This window comes from Homo sapiens, chromosome X (assembly GCF_000001405.40).
Source record: "Homo sapiens chromosome X, GRCh38.p14 Primary Assembly".
In the NCBI taxonomy this organism is placed as follows: Eukaryota; Metazoa; Chordata; class Mammalia; order Primates; family Hominidae; genus Homo; species Homo sapiens.
In genome coordinates this window covers 93,626,613-93,649,186 of record NC_000023.11, presented here as the reverse complement: position 1 = coordinate 93,649,186, position 22,574 = coordinate 93,626,613, and the positions used below count along the sequence as shown (strand labels likewise).

At 37.6% G+C, this 22,574-nt stretch overlaps 3 annotated features.

Moving 5' to 3' along the window:
* Nucleotides 10,510-11,495: an enhancer, noted in NCBI's record as "OCT4-NANOG-H3K27ac hESC enhancer chrX:92892691-92893676 (GRCh37/hg19 assembly coordinates)". NCBI's record gives its function as "activates a minimal SCP1, AML or CMV promoter by ChIP-STARR-seq in naive and primed H9 embryonic stem cells {active_cell/tissue: H9 hESC(naive and primed)}" and the evidence as "EXISTENCE:reporter gene assay evidence [ECO:0000049][PMID:30033119]".
* Nucleotides 11,496-12,482: an enhancer, noted in NCBI's record as "OCT4-NANOG-H3K27ac hESC enhancer chrX:92891704-92892690 (GRCh37/hg19 assembly coordinates)". NCBI's record gives its function as "activates a minimal SCP1, AML or CMV promoter by ChIP-STARR-seq in primed H9 embryonic stem cells {active_cell/tissue: H9 hESC(primed)}" and the evidence as "EXISTENCE:reporter gene assay evidence [ECO:0000049][PMID:30033119]".
* Nucleotides 21,338-21,839: an enhancer, noted in NCBI's record as "H3K4me1 hESC enhancer chrX:92882347-92882848 (GRCh37/hg19 assembly coordinates)". NCBI's record gives its function as "activates a minimal SCP1, AML or CMV promoter by ChIP-STARR-seq in primed H9 embryonic stem cells {active_cell/tissue: H9 hESC(primed)}" and the evidence as "EXISTENCE:reporter gene assay evidence [ECO:0000049][PMID:30033119]".

Sequence of the window (22,574 nt, the reverse complement as noted above, 5' to 3'; positions counted from 1 at the left end):
TCCACGGATCCTTAGAGCAGGGACACAGTGCAGTGAATCTCTTTGCTAAGCATTACAAAAGTGACCATTGCTTCAATTCCCAATAGATTCCTCTTTTCGATCTGAGACCTCCTCAGCCTGGCCTTCACTGCCCATATCACCATCACCATTTGGGTCATAATCATTCAACCAGTCTCTAGGAAGTTTCAAACCTTCCCTCATCTTCCTGTCTTTTACTGAGGCCTGCAAACTGTTCTGCCCTCTGCCTGTTACCCACATGTACTGCTTCCACATTTTCCGGTATCTTTATATCAATGCCCTGTTAATTACCTATATTAGTCTGTTCTTCCACTGCTATACAGAAATACCTGAGACTGGGTAATTTATAAAGAAAATGTGTTTAATTGTCTCATGGTTCCACAGAAAGTATAATGCCAGCATCTGCTCAACTTCTGGGGAGGCCTCAGGAAACTTACCATTATGGCAGAAGGGAGAACACAGACATATGACCAGGGTAGGATTAAGGAGGTGGGGGATGTGCTACACACTTTCAAACAGCCAGATCTCATGAGAACTCTATCATAAGAACAGCACCAAGGAAATGGCAGTAAGCCATTCATGAAAGATCCACCCCCAAGATTCAGTCACCTCCCCCTAGGCCCCATCTCAAATATTGAGGATTACCAATTCACATGAGATTTTTTGGGGACACAGATGCAAACCATATCATATGTCTTCTTTTAAGAAATGTCTTCTCAGATCTTTTGCCATTTTAAAAATTAGATTATTAGTTTTTTCTCTATAGTGTTGAGTTCTTCATATATTCTTGATATTAATTCCTTGTCAGATGGATCATTTGCAGATATTTTCACCCATTCTCTTGGTTGTCTCTTCACTTTGTTGTTTTCTTTGCTGTGCAGGAGCTTTTTAACTTTATGTGATACCATTTGTCCATTTTTGCTTCAATTGCTTGTTTGTGCTGTATTACTCAAAAAATATTTGCCCATTCCAATGACCTGGAGAGTTTCCCAATGTTTTCTTTCAGTAGTTTCATATTTTGAGGCCTTGTATTTAAGTCTTTAGTTCATATTGGTTTGATTTTTGTGTGTAGTGATAGATAGGGGTCTAGTTTCATTTTTCTGCATATGAATATCCATTTTTTCCAGCACCATTTATTGAAGACACTGTTTTTTTTTTTCCTCAATATGTCTTCTTGGCATCTTTGTCAAAAATGAGTTCACTGCAGATGTGTGGATTTGTTTTTGGGTTCTCTATTCTTTTGCATTGGTCTATGTGTCTGTTTTCATGCTGGCACCATACCATTTTGGTTACTATAGCTCTGTAGTACAATTTGAAATAGTGTAATGCAATTCCTCCAGTTTTTTTCTTCTATCAGGATAGCTATGACTATGACTATCCTGGGTCTTTTGTGGTTCTGTGTTAATTTTAGGTCTGTTTTTCTACTTTTGTGAAAAATGTCTTTGGTGTTTTGATAGAGATTGCATTAAATTTGTAGATTCCTTTAGGTAGTATGGACATTTTAACAATATTGATTCTTCCAACCCATGAACTTGGAATATCTTTTCATTGTTTTGTGTCCTTCTCAATTTCTTGCATCAATGTTTTACAGTTTTCTTTGTAGAGATATTTCACTTAATTGAATAAGTTAATTCTTAGGTATGTTATTTTCCTTGTAGCTCTTGTATAAGGGATTACTTTCTTGATTTTTTTTAGATTGTTTGCTGTTGACATATAGAAATGCGACTGATTTTTTATGTTGATCTTGTGTCCTGCAACTATCCTGAATTTACCAATTTTAAGAGCTTTTTTGATGGATTTTTAAGACTTATCCAAATATAAGATCACATTGTCTGCAAATAAAAATGATTTCATTTTTTCTTTCCCATTTGGATGCTATTTATTTCTTTCTCTTGTCTCTAGCTAGAACTTCCAATACAATATTGAATAACAGTGGTGAAAGTGGGCATCCATGTTGTGTTGTGGATTTTAGTATGAAGGCTTTCAGTATTTTTTCCCATTCAGTATGATACTAGCTTTGGGTCTGTTGTATATAGCTTATATGATGTTGAGATATGTTCCTTCTATCTCCAGTTTTTGAAGGATTTTATTACAAAGCGATGTTGAATTTTATCAAATGCTTATGCAACATCAAGCTGAATTCTACCAGAAATACAAAGAGGAGCTGATACGTTTCATTTGAAACTATTCCAAACAATTGAAAAGTAGGGATTTCTCCCTAACTCATTCTATGAGTCCAGCATCATCCTGATACCCAAACCTTGCAGAGATACAACAGCAACAACAAAAAGAAAACTTAAGACCAATATCCCTGATGAATATCAATGCAAAAATTCTCAATAAAATACTGGAAAACCAAACACAACAGCACATGAAAAAGTTTATCCACCAAGATCAACTTGGCTTCATTCCCAGGATGCAAGGCTGGTTCAACATACACAAATCAATAAACGTAATTCATCATATAAACAGATCTAAAGACAAAAACTACATAATTTTCTCAATATAAGCACAAAAGGCCTTTGATAAAATTCAGCATCTCTTTTTGTTAAAATCTCTTAATAAACTAGGTATTAAAGGGACATACATCAAAATAACAGGAGCCATTTATGACAAACCCACAGCCAAAGTCATACTGAATGGGCAAATGCTGTAAGCATTCACCTTGAAACCCAGCACAAGACAAGGATATCCTCTCTCACCACTCCTATTCAGCATAGTATTGGAAGTTCTGGCCAGGGCAATCAGGCAAGAGAAATTTAAAAAGGTATTCAAATAGGAAGAGAGGAAGTCAAATTGTCCCTGTTTTCAGATGACATGATTGTATATTTAGAAAACCCCATTGTCTCAGCCCAAAATCTCCTTAAGCTGATAAGCAACTTCAGCAAAGTCTCAGGATACAAAATCAATGAGCAGAAGTAACAAGCATTCCTATATACTAACACAAGCAAGCAAAGAGCCAAACCATGAATGAACTTCCATTCACAATTGTTACAAAGAGAAAATACCTAGGAATACAGTTAACAAGGGAAGTAAAGGACCTTTTCAAGGAGTACTACAAACCACTGCTCAAGGGAAATAGAGAGGACACAAACAAATGGAAAAATGTTCAATGCTCATGGATAGGAAGAATCAATATTGTTGAAATGGCCATACTCCCTAAAGTAATTTATATATTCGATGCTATTCCCATTAAACTACCATGGCCATTCTTCACAAAATTAGAAAAAAAATTTTAAAATTCATATGGAACCAAAAAAGAGCTCATATAGCCAAGATAATCCTAAGCAAAAAGAACAAAGCTGGAGGCATCATGCTACCAGACTTCGAACTATACTATAAGGCTACAATAACCAAAACAACATGGTACTGGTACCAGAATGGACACAAAAGCAATAGAACAGAACAGAGAACTCAGAAATAAGACTGCATATCTGCAACCATCTGATCTTTGACAAACCTGACAAAAACAAGCAATGGGGAAAGCATTCCCTATTTAACGAATGGTGCTGGGAAAACTGGCTAGCCATATGCAGAAAATTGAAACTGAACCCCTTCCTCACACCTTATGCAAAAATTAACTCAAGATGGATTAAAGATTTAAATGTAAAACCCCAAAGTATAAAAACCCTAGAAGAAAATCTAGGCAACACCGTTCTGGACAAAGTCATGGGCAAAGATTTTATGATGAAATTGCCAAAAGCAATTGCAACGAAAGCAAAAATTGACAAATGGGATCTAATTAAACTAATGAACTTCTGCACAGCAAAATAAACTATCAGAGAAAACAGACAACTCACAGAGTGGGGGAAAATTTTTGCAATCTATCCATCTGACAAAGGCTAATATCCAGAATCCCCAAGGAACTGAAACAAATTTACAAGAACAAACAACCCTATTAAAAAGTGGGCAAAGGACATGAACAGACACTTTTCAAAAGAAGACATTCATCCTGCCAACAAACGTATGAAAAAAGCTCAACATCATTGATCATTAAAGAAATGCAAGTCAAAAACCACAGTGAGATACCATCTCACACCAGTCAGAATGGCAGTTATTAAAAAATCAAGAAACAACAGATGTTGGCGAGCTTGCAGAGAAATAGGAATGCTTTTACACTGTTGGTGAGAATGCAAATTAGTTCAACCATTGTGAAAGACAGTGTGGTGATTCCTCAAAGATCTAGACCCAGAAGTACTATTTGACCTAGCAATCCCATTACTGGGTATATACCCAAAGTAATGTAAATTATTCTATTACAAAGATACATGCATGTGTATGTTCATTGCAGCACTATACACAATAGCAAAGACATGGAATCAACCCAAATGCTGATCAACGATAGACAGGATAAAAAAAAATGTGGTACATACACAGTATGAAATACTATGAAGCCATAAAAGGAGTGAGATCATGTCCTTTTTAGGGACATGAATGAATCTGGAAGCCATTATCCTCAGCAAGCTAATGCAGGAACAGAAAACCAAACACTGCATGTTCTCGCTTATAAGTGAAAGCTGATCAATGAGAACACATGGACTCAGGGAAGGGAACAACACACACTGAGCCCTGTTGGGGGTTGTGGTGAGAGGAGGGAGAACAATAAGAAAAATAGCTAATTCATGTTGGGCTTAATACCCAGGTCATGGGTTGATAGGTACAGCAAATCACCATTGTACACATTTATCTACGTAACAAACCTGCACATCCTGCACATGTTCCCCAGAACTAAAAATAAAAATTAAAATAAAAAAAGGAAAATTGAAAAACAAAAGCCAGCATTTCCTTCAGCAGAAACTTCACCCTTGCCACAGGGTATCTAGCCATGATGTTCCAGATGAAACAATTATACTATGTATTTCTCAGTCTGTATTATTCAGATATACATAGAATAAGTGCATTTCCTTCTGTAAACCAAAAAAAGGATTTTGAAATACAGGGCCTAGACTATCTTTACAGTTGCCTCTTTTTATGTCTCTTCCTGTCTCCTTGTTTCAGTGTGTATCTCTCACTTTCTCTAGTGTTCTACTTTCTCCTTGTTTTGTCTACCATCACTCTTCTCTATCTTAATTTTTTTTCACGTTCTTTCTTGCTTTTGACTTTTTGGACAAATTGTGAAGTCAACTTTTGCTTGCTATTGCTTTTCTACAGCGTGTTTTGCATAGTTAAGTGTACTGTAATCTGTAAAATTTAATTGGAAGTCTCAGGCAAGGGGATTGTTTTTACTTCTAAATTGGATAAAATAAGTTTATTAATAAAATTAATCTGGTTTTTAAAATCCAAGCTGAGGAATTGACCATCCAAAAGAGACTGCTATGTCTTTTTAAAGATTCAAAATAAATTAGCAGCAGTACACTCACTACAAAGCCCGAAACAATGCAAACATCCCAAGCATAGATATCAAAGTAGAATAAATTTTGATGTTGAACATAGTTCATAACTTTTTATACATTCTTCACTCTAAGACATCAAGTTCTTTTGTCAGTAATTGGATATATTTTTTATACTTGGTAAATCCCTGAGACAAGGCTATGACTTTATATTTTAAATAATACTAAAGTAAAAGGAATCACCCTTCTCCTCTCTATTTCTCCCTTATTCCTTTCCACAATATCATATATAAAAGAAATCAAGAACTTCTCACCCTTCTCCAACCTCCAAAAGTAATTATTTAATTATTTTGCAATTTGATCCTTCTGAAAATGGTGACTTCTTTGAGAGATAATTAATAAACATTACAGTTTACTTTTAAGTATACATTAAATAATTTTTAGTATATTTGCAGAGTGGTTCAATGATCACAATCAAAATTTTCATTACCCTGTTTAGAAATCCTTTATCCATTAGCAGTCACACCCCATTTTCTCCAAATTCCTTCTCCTTGGCCCCAAACCCTAGACAACCACTTATCTTCCTTCTGTTTCTATAGATTTGCCTATTCTGGACATTTCATAGAAATTGAGTCATATAACATATGACCTTTTGTGACTGGCTTCTTTCATTTAGTATGTTTCCAAGGTTTATCTGTATCATAGCATGTATCAATTCTTTACACCTTTAAATGGCTAAATTATATTCCATTTCATTTATATACCATGATTTGTTTATCCATTCACCAACTAATGATATTTGGGTTGTTTCAATTTTTGGGGTCTTATGAATAATGCTATTATGAACATTCATTCAGACATATGTTTTTATTTTTCTTGAATATAAATACACCCAGGAATGGGATTGCTGGGTCACATGATAACTTTATGTTTGCCCTTTTGAGGAAGTGTCAGACTGTTTTCCAAAGCAGCAGCACCATTTTACATTTCCACTAGCAACGTATGAAGATTCTAATTTCATGACATTCTTAGTAACACCTGTTATTTTTTGTCTTTTTACAAAGTGTTATTTTATTTTTAATTGACAGGTAATTGTACATATTTTTGAGGTACAGGGTGATGTTTTGATACATGTATACAATATGTAATGAGTTAGAGAGGATTTTGAATGTTCAAAGAACATTCATCTATCACTAGGAAATGATAAATGTTTGAGGTAATGGATACGCTAATTACAGTAATTTGACTATTTTCTGTCCTTTTTATTACCGTCATCCTAGTGAATGTAAAGTGGTATCTCATTGTGGTTTTGATTTGTATGTCCCTGATGACTAATAATATTAAGCATCTTTTCACATGCTTATAGATAATTTTAATATCTTTGATGAAATGTCTATTCAGATTTGTTGCCAACTATTTATTTGTCTTTTTACTGGTGAGTTGTAAGACTTTGTATATTCTGCATACAAGTCCCTTTATTAGGTATATTATTTGCAAAAATTTTCTGTTTTGTTGACTGTTTTTTACTTTCTTTTTTTTCTAAATTTTATTTATTATTTATATACTTATCTTTCTTTTTAAATTTTTATTTATTTATTTTTTAATTTTTTGGGTACAGAGTAGGGGTATGTATTTCTGGGATAAATGAGGTGTTTTGACACGGGCATGTCATGTGAAATAAGCACATTATACGTAATGAGGTATCCATCCTCTCAAGCATTTATCCTTTGAGTTACAATCCAATTATACTTTTAAAGTTATTTTAAATTAAGTACAATTAAGTCACAATTGACTGTAATCATCTTACTATGCTATCAAATAGTAGGTTTTATTTGTTCTGTCTATATTTTTGTACCCACTAACCATCCCCACCTCCCCTTGTAGCCCCCCCACCACTAACCTTCAAAGCCTCTGATAACCATCTTTCTACTATCTATGTCCATGAGTTTAATTGTTTTGATTTTAAGATCTCACAAACAAGTGAGAACATCTGATGTTTGTTTTTCTGTGTCTGCATTATTTCACTTAATATAATGATCTCCAATATTCTGCATGTTGTTGCAAGTTACTGGGTCTCATTTTTTTTATACATATCTGAATAGTACTACATTGAGTATATGTACCACATTTTCTTTATCCGTTCATCAGTTGATGGACATTGAGTTTGCTTCCAAATTTTGGCTATTGTAAATAGTACTGCAACAAACATAGGAGTGCAGATATCCCTTTAATATACTGATTTCCTTTCCTTTGGGTATATACCCAGCAGTAGGATTGTGGAGTCATGTGGTAGCTCAATGTTTAGTTTTTTTTTTTTTTTTTTTTTTTTTTTTTTCCAGAACCTCCATTGTACTAACTTACATTACATTCTCACCAACAGCATATATGGGTTTCTTTTTCTCCACATCCTCACCAGCATTTGTTATTCTCTGTCTTTTGGATATAAGTCATTTTAATTGGCGTGAGGTGATATCACATTGTAGTTTTGATTTGCATTTGTCTAATAATCAGTAATGTTGAGCACCTTTTTATATGCCTGTTGCCATTTGTATGTCTTTTTTTGAGAAATGTCCATTAAAACCTTTTGCTCATTTTTTATTGGATTATTAGACTGTTTTCTACAGAGTTGCTTGAGCTTCTTATTAATATATATTTTGGTTATTAATCTCTTGCCAGATGGGTAGTTTTCCATTTTTTTTTACTCTTGTTATCTCTTCATTTTGTTATTTACTCTTGTTATCTCTTCATTTTGTTGATTGTATTCTTTGCTGTGCAGAAGCTTTTTAACTTGATGTGATCCCATTTGTCTATTTTTATTATAGTTGCCTGCGCTTGTGGGGTAAAGCTCAAGAAATTTCTGCCTAGACCAATGTCCTAGGAATTTTCCCTAATGTTTTTGTCTAGTAATTTTGTAGTTTGATGTCTTAGATTTAAGTTTTTAATCTATCTTTATTTTACTTTTGTATATGGTGATAGGTGGGATCTAGTTTCTTTCTTCTGCATAGGGATATTCACTTTTCCCAGCATCATTTATTTAAGAGACCATCTTATCCCCAGTGTATGTTCTTGGCATCTTTGTCAAAAATGAGTTTACTGTAGGTGTGTGGATTTATTTCTGGGTTTTCTATTCTGTTTCATTGGTCTATGTGTCTGTTTTCATGTCAGTACCATGATATTTTGATTACTACAGCTCTGTAGTATAATTTGAAGTCAGGTAATATAATTCCTCCACTTTTGTTCTTTGTGCATAGCATAGCTTTGGCTATTTATTTTGTAGTTCCATAAAAGTTTTAGGATTTTTTTTTCTATTTCTGTGAAAACTGTTGGTATTTTGATAGGGATTGCTTTGAAACTGTAAATTGCTTTGGGTATTATTGACATTTTAACCATGTTGATACTTTCAATCCAGGAGCATTGTATATCTTCCCATTTTTTGTGTTATCTGCAATTTATTTTATAACTATTTTATGATTTTTGTTATGGAGACTTTTCACTTTTTTGGTTAAGGTAACCCCTTAGAGTTTAATTTTATGTGTGACTACTGTAAATGGGATTTATTTCCTTTTCCAGAGTGTTCACTGTCAGCATATAGAAATGATGCTGAGAGGTTCACTGTAGCCCAAACAGCAAAGATGGCATCCCGCTCATCTCCCTGAGAGCTTTGCTCCAGGGAGTACTGAAACCTCTGTCAGCTGGAGAACATGGGATACAAAGAGCTACCCTTTGTAGATAACCTGGCCTTTCTCTCTAGCTGCCTTTAACATTTTTTTCTTTTATTTAGACTAGACTCTCAATTTCCTTCCATTGATTCATATGTCCTTCTTCATGCTAGTACCACACAGTTTTGATTACTGTAGCTTTGTAGTAAGTTTTGAAGTAATAACTTGTGAGTGCTCCAACTTTCGTTCTTATGTTGGCTATTCTGGTTTTCTTTAATTTCACTGTGAATTTTAGGATCTGCATGTCAATTTCTGTTAAAAAAAAAAAAAAAAAAAAAAGAGCAAAAAGCAACCTGGAAATTTGACAGGAATTTCATTGACTTTCCATATCAATATGGGGAGTATTGCCATATTAACAATACTAATTTGTCTATTCCATAAATGTGGAAGGCTTTTACATTTATCTAGGATTTCTATAATTTTTTAGGAATGTTTTGCAGTTCGCCATACATGTATCATACCTCCTTGGTTAAATTTATTCCTAAGTATTTTATTCTTCTTGATAGTATTATAAATTGAATTATTTTCTAATTTTCATTTACAGCTTGCAATTCTATTTTAAAAATGAATTGTTTATTTACTTTATTGATGTTTTGGGTCTCTATAGACTTTTTCTCTTTGTATAAAGCTAATTAACTTTTAAAACTAATTGTTCCAGTAACAAACTTACACTAAATTACTATTTATATAATGCTGGTTTTCCTTTGTGCATTGGTGTAGCACAGATAAAGATTTACTTGTTCAACCTTTTCCAACACACACACACACACAGACATATATATATGTATAACGTGAAAATGTATAATTCTGTGAATAAAGCATTCCTTAAATAAAGAAATGGCAAGTTTGCTGTTTCATTCTTACTCTCTTTTAATAGTTGAATTGCAAAATAATGATAAATGAATGGCTCTTGGCCATATGTTTAACTTATAATTTGACTGCCTTTCACTTTTCTTGAACTCGGTTTTTCTTTTCGTAAAATCTATATTAGTCTGTTTTTGCACTGCTCTAAAGAAATACCTGAAACTGGGTAGTTTATTTAAAAAAAAAAAAGGTTTCACTACCTCACATTTCCATAGGTTGTACAGGAAGCATGATGGCTTCTGGAGAGGCCTCAGGAAACTTTCAATCATGGTGGAATCCAAACGGGATGCAAGCAAATCTTACGTGGCCACAGCAAAATGAAGAGAGAGAGGAGGGAGGTGCTATACACTTTTAAACAATCAGCTCTTATGAGAAACGACTCACCATCACAAGAACAACACCCAAAAGAATGATGTTAAACCATTCATGAGAAACCACCACCATGATTCAATCAACTCCCACCAGGTTCCACCTCCAACAGTGGGGTTTACAATTCAACATGAGATTTGAGTGGGGACACAGAGCCAATCATTCTGTCCCTGGCCCCTTCCAAACCTCACGTCCTTCTCACATTTCAAAATACAATTTTGCCTTCCCAACAGTTCCCCAAAGTCTAAAATCGTTGCAGTATTAACTTAAAAGTGCGAAATCCAAAGTTTCATCTGAGAAAAGTCTAGTCCCTTCTACCTATGAGCCTGCAAAATAAAAAATGAGTTAGTTACTTCCAAGATACAATAGAGGTATAGGGCATTGGGTAAATACTCCCATTCCAAAAGGCAGAAATCAGGCAAAAGAAAGGGGCTACAGGCCCTACACAAATCTAAAACCCAGCAGAGTAATCATTAAACCATAAAGCTGCCAAATAATCTCCTTTGACTCCATGTCCCAAATCTGGAACACATTGGTGCAAGAGGTGAGCTCCCAAAGTCTCGAGCAGCTCCTCCCCTGTGAATTTGCAGGGTTCAGCCCCCACAACTGCTTTCATGGGCTAGTGTGGAGAGCCTGCAGCTTTTCCAGGTGCACGGTGTAACTGCTGGTGGATCTACTATTCTGGGGTCTGGAGAATAATGGCACTGTTCTCACTGCTCCACTAAACAGTGCCCCAGTGGGGACTCTGTGTAGGGGCCCCAACCCCACATATTTATTCTGCACTACCCTAGTAGAGGTTCTTCATGAGGGCTCTGCTCCTGCAACAGGCTTCTGCTTGGAAATCCAGGCTTCTCCTTGCATCCTCTGAAATCTAGGTAGAGGCTCCTAAGCCTCAGCACTCTGTTCACCTTCAGGCTTACCACCACATGGAAGCCACCAAGGCTTGCAGCTTGCACCCCCTGGGGCAGCGGCCCAAGCTATACCTGAGCCTGTTTGAGCCACAGCTCAAACTGGAGCAGCTGGGATGTGAGGAGCAGTGTCCCACATCTGTGAAACTATTTTTCTTGCCTAGGCCTCTAGGTTTATAATGGGAAGGGCTACCATGATTGTCTCTGAAATGCCTTTGATGCCTCCCCATTGTCCTGGCTAATGACCTTTGGCTCCCCTTTACTTATGCAAATTTCTGCAGCTGGCTTGAATTCCTCACCAGGAAATGGGTTTTTCTTTTCTACCACATATCCAGCTGCAAATTTTCCAAACATCAATGCTCGGCTTCCCTTTTAAATATAATTTCCAGTTTCAGGTCATTTCTTTGCCCACGTATATGAGCATACGTTGTTAGAAGCAGCCATGGCACATCTTGAATGCTTTGCTGCTTAGAAATTTCTCCTGCCAGATACCCTAAATCATCACTCTTAAGTTCAAAGTTTCACAGATTCCTACGGCAGGGGCATAATACAGCCAACCTCTTTGCCAGTGCATAACACTAGTGACCTCTGCTCCAATTGCCAATATGTTTCTCATTTCCATCTGAGACCTCCTCAGCCTGGTCTTCATTGTCCGTATCACTATCAGCATTTTGATCACAACATTTTTTTTTTTTGAGATAGAGTCTCGCTTTGTCACCCAGGTTTGGAGTGTAGTGGCGCAGTGGTGCAATCTCGGCTCACTGCAACCTCCGCCTCCTGGGTTCAAGCGATTCTTATGCCTCAGCCTCCCGAGCAGTTGGGATTACAGGCATGCACCACTGCACCTGGCTAACTTTTGTATTTTTAGCAGAGACCAGGTTTCACAATGTTGGCCAGGCTGGTCTTGAACTCCTGACCTAAAGTGATCCACCTGCCTCAGCCTCCCAAAGTGCTGGGATTACAGGTGTGAGCCACCATGCCTGGCCTGGTCACAACAATTTAACAAGTCTCTAGGAAGTTCCAAACCTTCCCTCATCTTCCTGTCTTCTTGTAAGCTCTCCACACTCTTCCAACCTCTGCTTGTTGTCCAGTTCCAAAGCTGCTTCCACATTTTCAGGTATCTTTATAGCAAAGACCCTCTCCTTGGTACCAACTTTCTGCATTAGTTCATTCTCACATTGCTATAAAGAACTACCTGAGACTGGGTAATTTATAAAGAAAAGGGGTTTAATTAGCTCATGGTTCCGCCAGCCTTACAGCAGCATGATGCTGGCCATCTGTTCAGCTTCTGAGGAAGCCTCAAGAAACTTACAATCATGATGGAAGGCAAAGGATGAGCCAGAACTTCACATGGCCATAGCAGGAAGAAGAGGTTAGGGGAGGTGCTACACATTTTTAAACAACCAGGTCTTATGAGAACTCACTCACCTTCAGGAGAACAGTACCCAGTGTGATGGTGTTAAACCATTCATTAGAAACCGCACACGTGATTCAATCACCTCCCACCAGGCTCCACCTCCAAAATTGGGGATTACAATTCAATGTGAGATTTGGTCAGGGACACAGATCCAAAACATATCAAAGTCCTTATTTTATTCTATCTTTTATTTTTTCCACCAATCTCCTATTATTCTTAGCCTTTGTTCATTTTATCAGTCTTGTGTGAGGATCTGTGTTTCTTCCTAAAAAAAGTTATTATTTGCATTTTTACTTTATCTTAGAGACCACTAAACAGGAAATTGGGCTAAACATGTAACACTGTAGCTGGTAATACTTCTTTTAATGAGACTTCTCATTTCCTTATAGGCCTTCCCTTCAGAATCATCACAGAAATTTCTAACTTCTGTGATATTTTAGGTAATTTTTTTTCCTGTCAATTGCTTAAGTAGTACTGGAGTGAAGGAGATGGAGGTGGGAGAAAGGCTTTTTCCTGGAAGCAAAACTTAAGGAGTATGCTACCTATACTACTCTAGTACACCTACCACTCAGTTGTTATTATACATAGCTCTGTTGCAGTAATTCTTTGGGGGAGATATTTAATGTCACGGCCTTAACATCGTGCCATGCTTGAGCCCATTATGTTAAAGTCTATCAGCCAACTGTTTCAAATTTCCCACATAACTATGTCCTTCCTGAAACTGTTGTTTTAAGAGGATTATTTCTAAAAACCATCATTTTAATGAACTGTAATCAGTATAGCCAGTGTGTTCATTAATTTTATGTGTCATCTTGACTGACTTATGGGGCACCCAGACATTCATTCAAATATTACTTTGGGTTTGTCCGTGAGTGTGTTTGGAGGTGCAATTAACATTTGAATCAGTAGACTAAGTAAAGCTGATTGCCCTTCTTAATGTGGGTAGGACTCATCCAATCACCCTAACACCTGAATAGAACAAGAAGATTGACCCTCCTTCTAATAAGAGGAAACTCTTCCTACCTGACAGCCTTCCAGGTGGAACATTGGGTTTTTTCTGCCTTCAGACTCAAACCCAGTCATTAGCTATTCTGGGATCTTGAGCCTGCCAGACTCAAATTACATTATGTGCTCTTCTAGGTCTCCAGCTTGCTGACTGCAGATCTTGGGACTTTTCAGCCTCCATAATCATGTGAGCCAATTCCTTATAATAAATCTCTCCCTCTTCCTTTCCCTCTCTAATATATCTCCAATGGGTTCTGTTTCTCTGGAGAACCCTGACAAACCAGTATCCTACCTTTTCTTCACAGTAACTCTTCCCACCACCCCATCCCCATCTTTAGAAAACATTTTCTCTCTCATAACTTTTATGCAGTCTGCCACCTACAACTACCCTTCTGAGAGGCTACCCTCAATGACTCTTGAAGGTCTAATATCCCCTACCCTTATAAAGATTTCTCTCTGTCTCTCTCTCTATATATAGATACACACACACACACACACACACACACATACACACACACATGCACACACACACACACACACATATATACACACATATGTATATATGTGTGTGTGTTGTGTATGTGTGTGTGTTGTGTATGTGTGTGTGTTGTGTATGTGTGTGTGTGTGTGTTGAGGCTCTATTCTGTCTACCACTAGATAAGGAATAGCCCTCTATTCACTGGTTATTTTGTATTTTCCAGGAATTTCCATTTCTTTATCAATATTTGTCCCATCCCCTGGCATCCTACTTGCAAATTAACTCTGACTTACCTGGCAATCTTGCTCACAAAAAAAAGATAAACAAATTGCATCATTGTTGTGTTTTCTTCTCTGATAATGCCTCCACTACACATATATATGAGAAAACTGGTTTAGGAGTCAGACAAACCTAAATTTAATGTCAAGGTATGCAGAGCAACTTAATTTATTTTCTGTAAAGTCAGATTCTCATCAGTAAATGGGAATAATAATGCCATCTGTTTCATAGAGCTGCATGGAATAACTGAGATAATGTACAAAATACTTAGCACTGGTTTTCTGCTATATAGTGAATGATTAATAAGCTGGTATTATTACTAGTATTAGTATTATTATTCAGTAGACTAAGGGGATTAATGAAATACTAGCTCTATTCTTTCCAGCTTGCTGCCTAGCCTCTAAAATATATTTTCTTAGTCCTATATATAAAGTGATTCTATGGAAAATCTAGCTCATTTTGTTTACCTCTATCTACAGAGAATATACACACAGATCAGTAATATTTATGGTGGGTTTTCAGTAAAGAAATTAACCTCTTACAGCCTGTGATGAATCTAGGTTGACATCAGGAAGAGTCATTTATGGTGATAGATGAAACAATGAAATTAATTATTGTAAAGTGCATACCTAAGACACTTTACAAGAATATTCAAATATGAGAGAATTACAAATGTAACTTTCCAAAGTAAACAACTTTATCATTACCTACCATAAACAGTCCCTGTCCTTAAGTTTCTAAGCAAAGAGAAAGTTACTAATAATTTTATATTCCAGCTGCTCAAGTAGATAATAGCTTGTATTTTTTAGGAAAATCAAAATTCATGCATGAATAAGATTAATACTTTTTGCTATACATAGGCACAAGTATATTCTTAGCAAAATGTTAATAGAATTGAAGTATAGACGTTTAAGAATATTTATCCTATTTGAAAAATTTATCTTGTTACCTTGTTTTATTTGATTTTGATTACTTTCAATTTTTCATCTTCAAAAGTGACAGGCTTAGGTATTCAAATACAGAGATCACATTTCTTCTAGGAAAAGGAAGAATTCAAATGATCATTAGATTCTCAAGTTGTTCAGGTAGAAAAGTGAAACTGTCAAGTTACATATTGGCAAAAGTGTGTGATAACCAGCCCATGCTCTGAATAAAGTAAACAAGGAAGAATACTTTGTTTTTAATTATCAAAAGGGTTTAGAGCATTGATGTTGTGTTTTTCCCCCAAATTAATTTTGACTAAGGAAAGAAGTTCTATGTTCAATCCTTGGCCCATTAAAAATGTCCTTTATCTCTCTCTCTCTCTTTTTTTATTTTATTTTATTATTATTATACTTTAAGTTTTAGGGTACATGTGCCCAATGTGCAGGTTAGTTACATATGTATACATGTGCCATGCTGGTGTGCTGCACCCATTAACTCGTCATTTAGCATTAGGTGTATCTCCTAATGCTATCCCTCCCCCCTCCCCCCACCCCACAACAGTCCCCAGAGTGTGATGGTCCCCTTCCTGTATCCATGTGTTCTCATTGTTCAATTCCCACCTAGGAGTGAGAGTATGCGGTGTTTGGTTTTTTGTTCTTGTGATAGTTTGCTGAGAATGATGATTTCCAATTTCATCCATGTCCCTACAAAGGACATGAACTCATCATTTTTTATGGCTGCATAGTATTCCATGGTGTATATGTGCCACATTTTCTTAATCCAGTCTATTATTGTTGGACATTTGGCTTGGTTCCAAGTCTTTGCTATTGTGAATAGTGCCGCAATAAACATACGTGTGCATGTGTCTTTATAGCAGCATGATTTATAGTCCTTTGGGTATATACCCAGTAATGGGATGGCTGGGTCAAATGGTATTTCTAGTTCTAGATCCCTGAGGAATCGCCACACTGACTTCCACAATGGTTGAACTAGTTTACAGTCCCACCAACAGTGTAAAAGTGTTCCTATTTCTCCACATCCTCTCCAGCACCTGTTGTTTCCTGACTTTTTAATGATCACCATTCTAACTGGTGTGAGATGGTATCTCATTGTGGTTTTGATTTGCATTTCTCTAATGGCCAGTGATGGTGAGCATTTTTTCATGTGTTTTTTGGCTGCATAAATGTCTTCTTTTGAGGAGTGTCTGTTCATGTCCTTTGCCCACTTTTTGATGGGGTTGTTTGTTTTCTTCTTGTAAATTTTGTTGAGTTCATTGTAGATTCTGGATATTAGCCCTTTGTCAGATGAGTAGGTTGTGAAAATTTCCTCCCATTCTGTAGGTTGCCTATTCACTCTGATGGTAGTTTCTTTGGCTGTGCAGAAGCTCTTTAGTTTAATTAGATCCCATTTGTCAATTTTGGCTTTTGTTGCCATTGCTTTTGGTGTTTTAGACATGAAGTCCTTGCCCATGCCTATGTCCTGAATGGTAATGCCTAGGTTTTCTTCTAGGGTTTTTATGGTTTTAGGTCTAACGTTTAAGACTTTAATCCATCTTGAATTAATTTTTGTATAAGGTGTAAGGAACGGATCCAGTTTCAGCTTTCTACATATGGCTAGCCAGTTTTCCCAGCACCATTTATTAAATAGGGAATCCTTTCCCCATTGCTTGTTTTTCTCAGGTTTGTCAAGGATCAGATAGTTGTAGATATGTGGCATTATTTCTGAGGGCTCTGTTCTGTTCCATTGATCTATATCTCTGTTTTGGTACCAGTACCATACTGTTTTGGTTACTGTAGCCTTGTAGTATAGTTTGAAGTCAGGTAGTGTGATGCCTCCAGCTTTGTTCTTTTGGCTTAGGATTGACTTGGCGATGTGGGCTCATTTTTGGTTCCATATGAACTTTAAAGTAGTTTTTTCCAATTCTGTGAAGAAAGGCATTGGTAGCTTGATGGGGATGGCATTGAATCTATAAATTACCTTGAGCAGTATGGCCATTTTCATGATATTGATTCTTCCTACCCATGAGCATGGAATGTTCTTCCATTTGTTTGTATCCTCTTTTATTTCATTGAGCAGTGGTTTGTAGTTCTCCTTGAAGAGGTCCTTCACGTCCCTTGAAAGTTGGATTCCTAGGTATTTTATTCTCTTTGAAGCAATTGTGAATGGGAGTTCACTCATGATTTGGCTCTCTGTTTGTCTGCTATTGGTGTATAAGAATGCTTGTGATTTTTGTACATTGATTTTCTATCCTGAGACTTTGCTGAAGTTGCTTGTCAGCTTGAGGAGATTTTGGGCTGAGACAATGGGGTTTTCTAGATATACAATCATGTCATCTGCAAACAGGGACAATTTGACTTCCTCTTTTCCTAATTGAATACCCTTTATTTCCTTCTCCTGCCTAATTGCCCTGGCCAGAACTTCCAACAGTATGTTGAATAGGAGTGGGGAGAGAGGGCATCCCTGTCTTGTGCCAGTTTTCAAAGGGAATGCTTCCAGTTTTTGCCCATTCAGTATGATATTGGCTGTGGGTTTGTCATAGATAGCTCTTATTATTTTGAGATACGTCCCATCAATACCTAATTTGTTGAGAGCTTTTAGCATGAAGGGTTGTTGAATTTTGTCAAAGGCCTTTTCTGCTTCTATTGAGATAATCATGTGGTTTTTGTCTTTGGTTCTGTTTATATGCTGGATTACATTTATTGATTTGCATATATTGAACCAGCCTTGCATCCTAGGGATGAAGCCCACTTGATCATGGTGGATACGCTTTTTGATGTGCTGCTGGATTCAGTTTGCCAGTATTTTATTAAGGATTTTTGCATCAATGTTCATCAAGGATATTGGTCTAAAATTCTCTTTTTTCGTTGTGTCTCTACCCGGCTTTGGTATCAGGATGATGCTGGCCTCATAAAATGAGTTCGGAGGATTCCCTTTTTCTATTGATTGGAATAGTTTCAGAAGGAATGGTACCAGCTCCTCTTTGTACCTCTGGTAGAATTCGGCTGTGAATCCATCTGGTCCTGGACTCTTTTTGGTTGGTAAGCTATTGATTATTGCCACAATTTCAGCTCCTGTTATTGGTCTATTCAGAGATTCAACTTCTTCCTGGTTTAGTCTTGGGAGGGTGTATGTGTCGAGGAATTTATCCATTTCTTCTAGCTTTTCTAGTTTATTTGCATAGAGGTGTTTATAGTATTCTCTGATGGTAGTTTGTATTTCTGTGGGATCAGTGGTGATATCCTCTTTATCATTTTTTATTGTGGCTATTTGATTCTTCTCTCTCTTCTTCTTTATTAGTCTTGCTAGCAGTCTATCAATTTTATTGATCCTTTCAAAAAACCAGCTCCTGGATTCATTAATTTTTTGAAGGGTTTTTTGTGTCTCTATTTCCTTCAGTTCTGCTCTGATTTTAGTTATTTCTTGCCTTCTGCTAGCTTTCGAATGTGTTTGCTCTTGTTTTTCTAGTTATTTTAATTGTGATGTTAGGGTGTCAATTTTGGATCTTTCCTGCTTTCTCTTGTGGGCATTTAGTGCTATAAATTTCCCTCTACACACTGCTTTGAATGTGTCCCAGAGATTCTGGTATGTTGTGTCTTTGTTCTCGGTGGTTTCAAAGAACATCTTTATTTCTGCCTTCATTTCGTTATGTACCCAGTAGTCATTCAGGAGCAGGTTGTTCAGTTTCCATGTAGTTGAGTGGTTTTGAGTGAGTTTCTTATTCCTGAGTTCTAGTTTGATTGCACTGTGGTCTGAGAGACAGTTTGTTATGATTTTTGATCTTTTACATTTGCTGAGGAGAGCCTTACTTCCCAGTATGTGGTCAATTTTGGAATAGGTGTGGTGTGGTGCTGAAAAAAATGTATATTCTGTTGATTTAGGGTGGAGAGTTCTATAGATGTCTATTAGGTCCGCTTGGTGCAGAGCTGAGTTCAATTCCTGGATATCCTTGTTAACTTTCTGTCTCGTTGATCTGTCTAATGTTGACAGTGGAGTGTTAAAGTCTCCCATTGTTATTGTGTGGGAGTCTAAGTCTCTTTGTAGGTCACTCAGGACTTTCTTTATGAATCTTGGTGCTCCTGTATTGGGTGCATATATATTTAGGATAGTTAGCTCTTCTTGTTGAATTGATCCCTTTACCATTATGTAATGGCCTTCTTTGTCTCTTTTGATCTTTGTTGGTTTAAAGTCTGTTTTATCCGAGACTAGGATTGCAACCCCTGCCCTTTTTTGTTTTCAATTTGCTTGGTAGATCTTCCTCCATCCTTTTATTTTGAGCCTATGTGTGTCTCTGCTCGTGAGATGGGTTTCCTGAATACAGCACACTGATGGGTCTTGACTCTTTATCCAACTTGCCAGTCTGTGTCTTTTAATTGGAGCGTTTAGTCCATTTACATTTAAAGTTAATATTGTTATGTGTGAATTTGATCCTGTCATTATGATTTTAGCTGGTTATTTTGCTTGTTAGTTGATGCAGTTTCTTCCTAGCCTTGATGGTCTTTACAATTTGGCATGATTTTGCAGTGGCTGGTACTGGTTGTTCCTTTCCATGTTTAGTGCTTCCTTCAGGAGCTCTTGTAGGGCAGGCCTGGTGGTGACAAAATCTCTCAGCATTTGCTTGTCTGTGAAGTATTTTATTTCTCCTTCACTTATGAAGCTTAGTTTGGCTGGATATGAAATTCTGGGTTGAAAATTCTTTTCTTTAAGAATGTTGAGTATTGGCCCCCACTCTCTTCTGGCTTGTAGATTTTCTGCTGAGAGATCCGCTGTTAGTCTGATGGGCTTCCCTTTGTGGGTAACCCGACCTTTCTCTCTGGCTGCCCTTAACATTTTTTCCTTCATTTCAACTTTGGTGAATCTGACAATTATGTGTCTTGGAGTTGCTCTTCTCGAGGAGTATCTTTGTGGCGTTCTCTGTATTTCCTGAATCTGAATGTTGGCCTGCCTTGCTAGATTGGGGAAGTTCTCCTGGATAATATCCTGCAGAGTATTTTCCAACTTGGTTCCATTCTCCCCGTCATTTTCAGGTACACCAATCAGACGTAGATTTGGTCTTTTCACATAGTCCCATATTTCTTGGATGCTTTGTTCGTTTCTTTTTATTCTTTTTTCTGTAAACTTCCCTTCTCGCTTCATTTCATTCATTTCATCTTCCATCACTGATACCCTTTCTTCCAGTTGATTGCATCGGCTCCTGAGGCTTCTGCATTCTTCACGTAGTTCTTGAGCCTTGGCTTTCAGCTCCATCAGCTCCTTTAAGCACTTCTCTGTATTGGTTATTCTAGTTATACATTCTTCTAAATTTTTTTCAAAGTTTTCAACTTCTTTACCTTTGGTTTGAATGTCCTCCCATAGCTCAGAGTAATTTGATCGTCTGAAGCCTTCTTCTCTCAGCTCGTCAAAGTCATTCTCCTTCCAGCTTTGTTCTGTTACTGGTGAGAAACTGCATTCCTTTGGAGGAGGAGAGGCACTCTGCTTTTTAGAGTATCCAGTTTTTCTGCTCTATTTTTTCCCCATCTTTGTGGTTTTATCTACTTTTGGTCTTTGATGATGGTGATGTACAGATGGGTTTTTGGTGTGGATGTCCTTTCTGTTTGTTAGTTTTCCTTCTAACAGACAGGACCCTCAGCTGCAGGTCTGTTGGAGTTTGCTAGAGGTCCACTCCAGACCCTGTTTCCCTGGGTACCAGCAGCAGTGGCTGCAGAACATAGGATTATTGTGAACTGCGAATGCTGCTGTCTGATCGTTCCTCTGGAAGTTTTGTCTCAGAGGAGTACCCGGCCGTGTGAGATGTCAGTCTGCCCCTACTGGGGGGGTGCCTCCCAGTTAGGCTGCTCGGGGGTCAGGGGTCAGGGACCCACTTGAGGAGGCAGTCTGCCCGTTCTCAGATCTCCAGCTGCGTGCTAGGAGAACCACTGCTCTCTTCAAAGCTGTCAGACAGGGACATTCAAGTCTGCAGAGGTTACTGCTGTCTTTTTGTTTGTCTGTGCCCTGCCCCCAGAGGTGGAGCCTACAGAGGCAGGCAGGCCTCCTTGAGCTGTGGTGGGCTCCACCCAGTTCAAGCTTCCCAACTGCTTTGTTTACCTAAGCAAGCCTGGGCAATAGCGGGCATCCCTCCCCCAGCCTCGCTGCCACCTTGCAGTTTGATCTCAGACTGCTGTGCTAGCAATCAGCGAGACTCCGTGGGCGTAGGACCCTCCAAGCCAGGTGCAGGATATAATCTCCTGGTGCGCTGTTTTTTAAGCCCGTTGGAAAAGTGCAGTATTCAGGTGGGAGTCACCCGATTTTCCAGGTGCCATCTGTCACCCCTTTCTTTGACTAGGAAAGGGAACTCCCTGACCCCTTGTGCTTCCTGAGTGAGGCAATGCCTCACCCTGCTTTGGCTCACGCATGGTGTGCTGCACCCACTGTCCTGAGCCCACTGTCTGGCACTCTCTAGTGAGATGAACCTGGTACCTCAGATGGAAATGCAGAAGTCACCCGTCTTCTGCGTTGCTCATGCTGGGAACTGTAGACCGGAGCTGTTCCTATTCAGCCATCTTGGCTCCCAACCAATACTATGGCCTTTTCTTCTTAATCTCTGGAAGACAACTTGGTGTTCCAGGACGCCCATTGGCCTTGGAGTGATGACACGTAGATTCAAATACTGCTTCTCCAGTTATTAGTTATGGCATCTTGAGCAAGATAATCACTTTTAAAACTAGGGTATACATAGAGTTAGGATCATGACTCTGTGTCCATAATCTTTATACTATTAATTTTGCTTTTGGAGTTAAATTCTGAATACATACATTGAGGAAAATAATTCTTGTCATTAAACTGAGTTTAATGACAGTAGGATGCTTTTTAGAAGGCTGGGAATTTACATGTTAACAAAAAGAGCAGGGTATTAAGAATTAGTAGTTTGCATATTTCTAGACACATTTTGGTTCAAGTATATTTCCATTTTTTTAATTGTTTGACAAGCCTAAAACATGATTTTGATCACTTACATGAAAATACAGACATGCTGTGATAAGAGATCTTCCCTAGGCAAGTAGCATACCTGTTGAATGAAACATTTTCATGAAATATGTCGTGATAAATATGTTCTTTTCAAAATATATTTTTCTCCTACCTACTATTAACACTGAATAAAGAATGTGGCCAGTGGGTCTTATTTGCTGTGATCCATTAAGACAATTGGGTGTGGGATAGGTGGCACTGTGTTTTTTATCTGTGGATCCTTGCCCTCCTCTGCGTCAGGTTAGGCCATGACAATTCAAG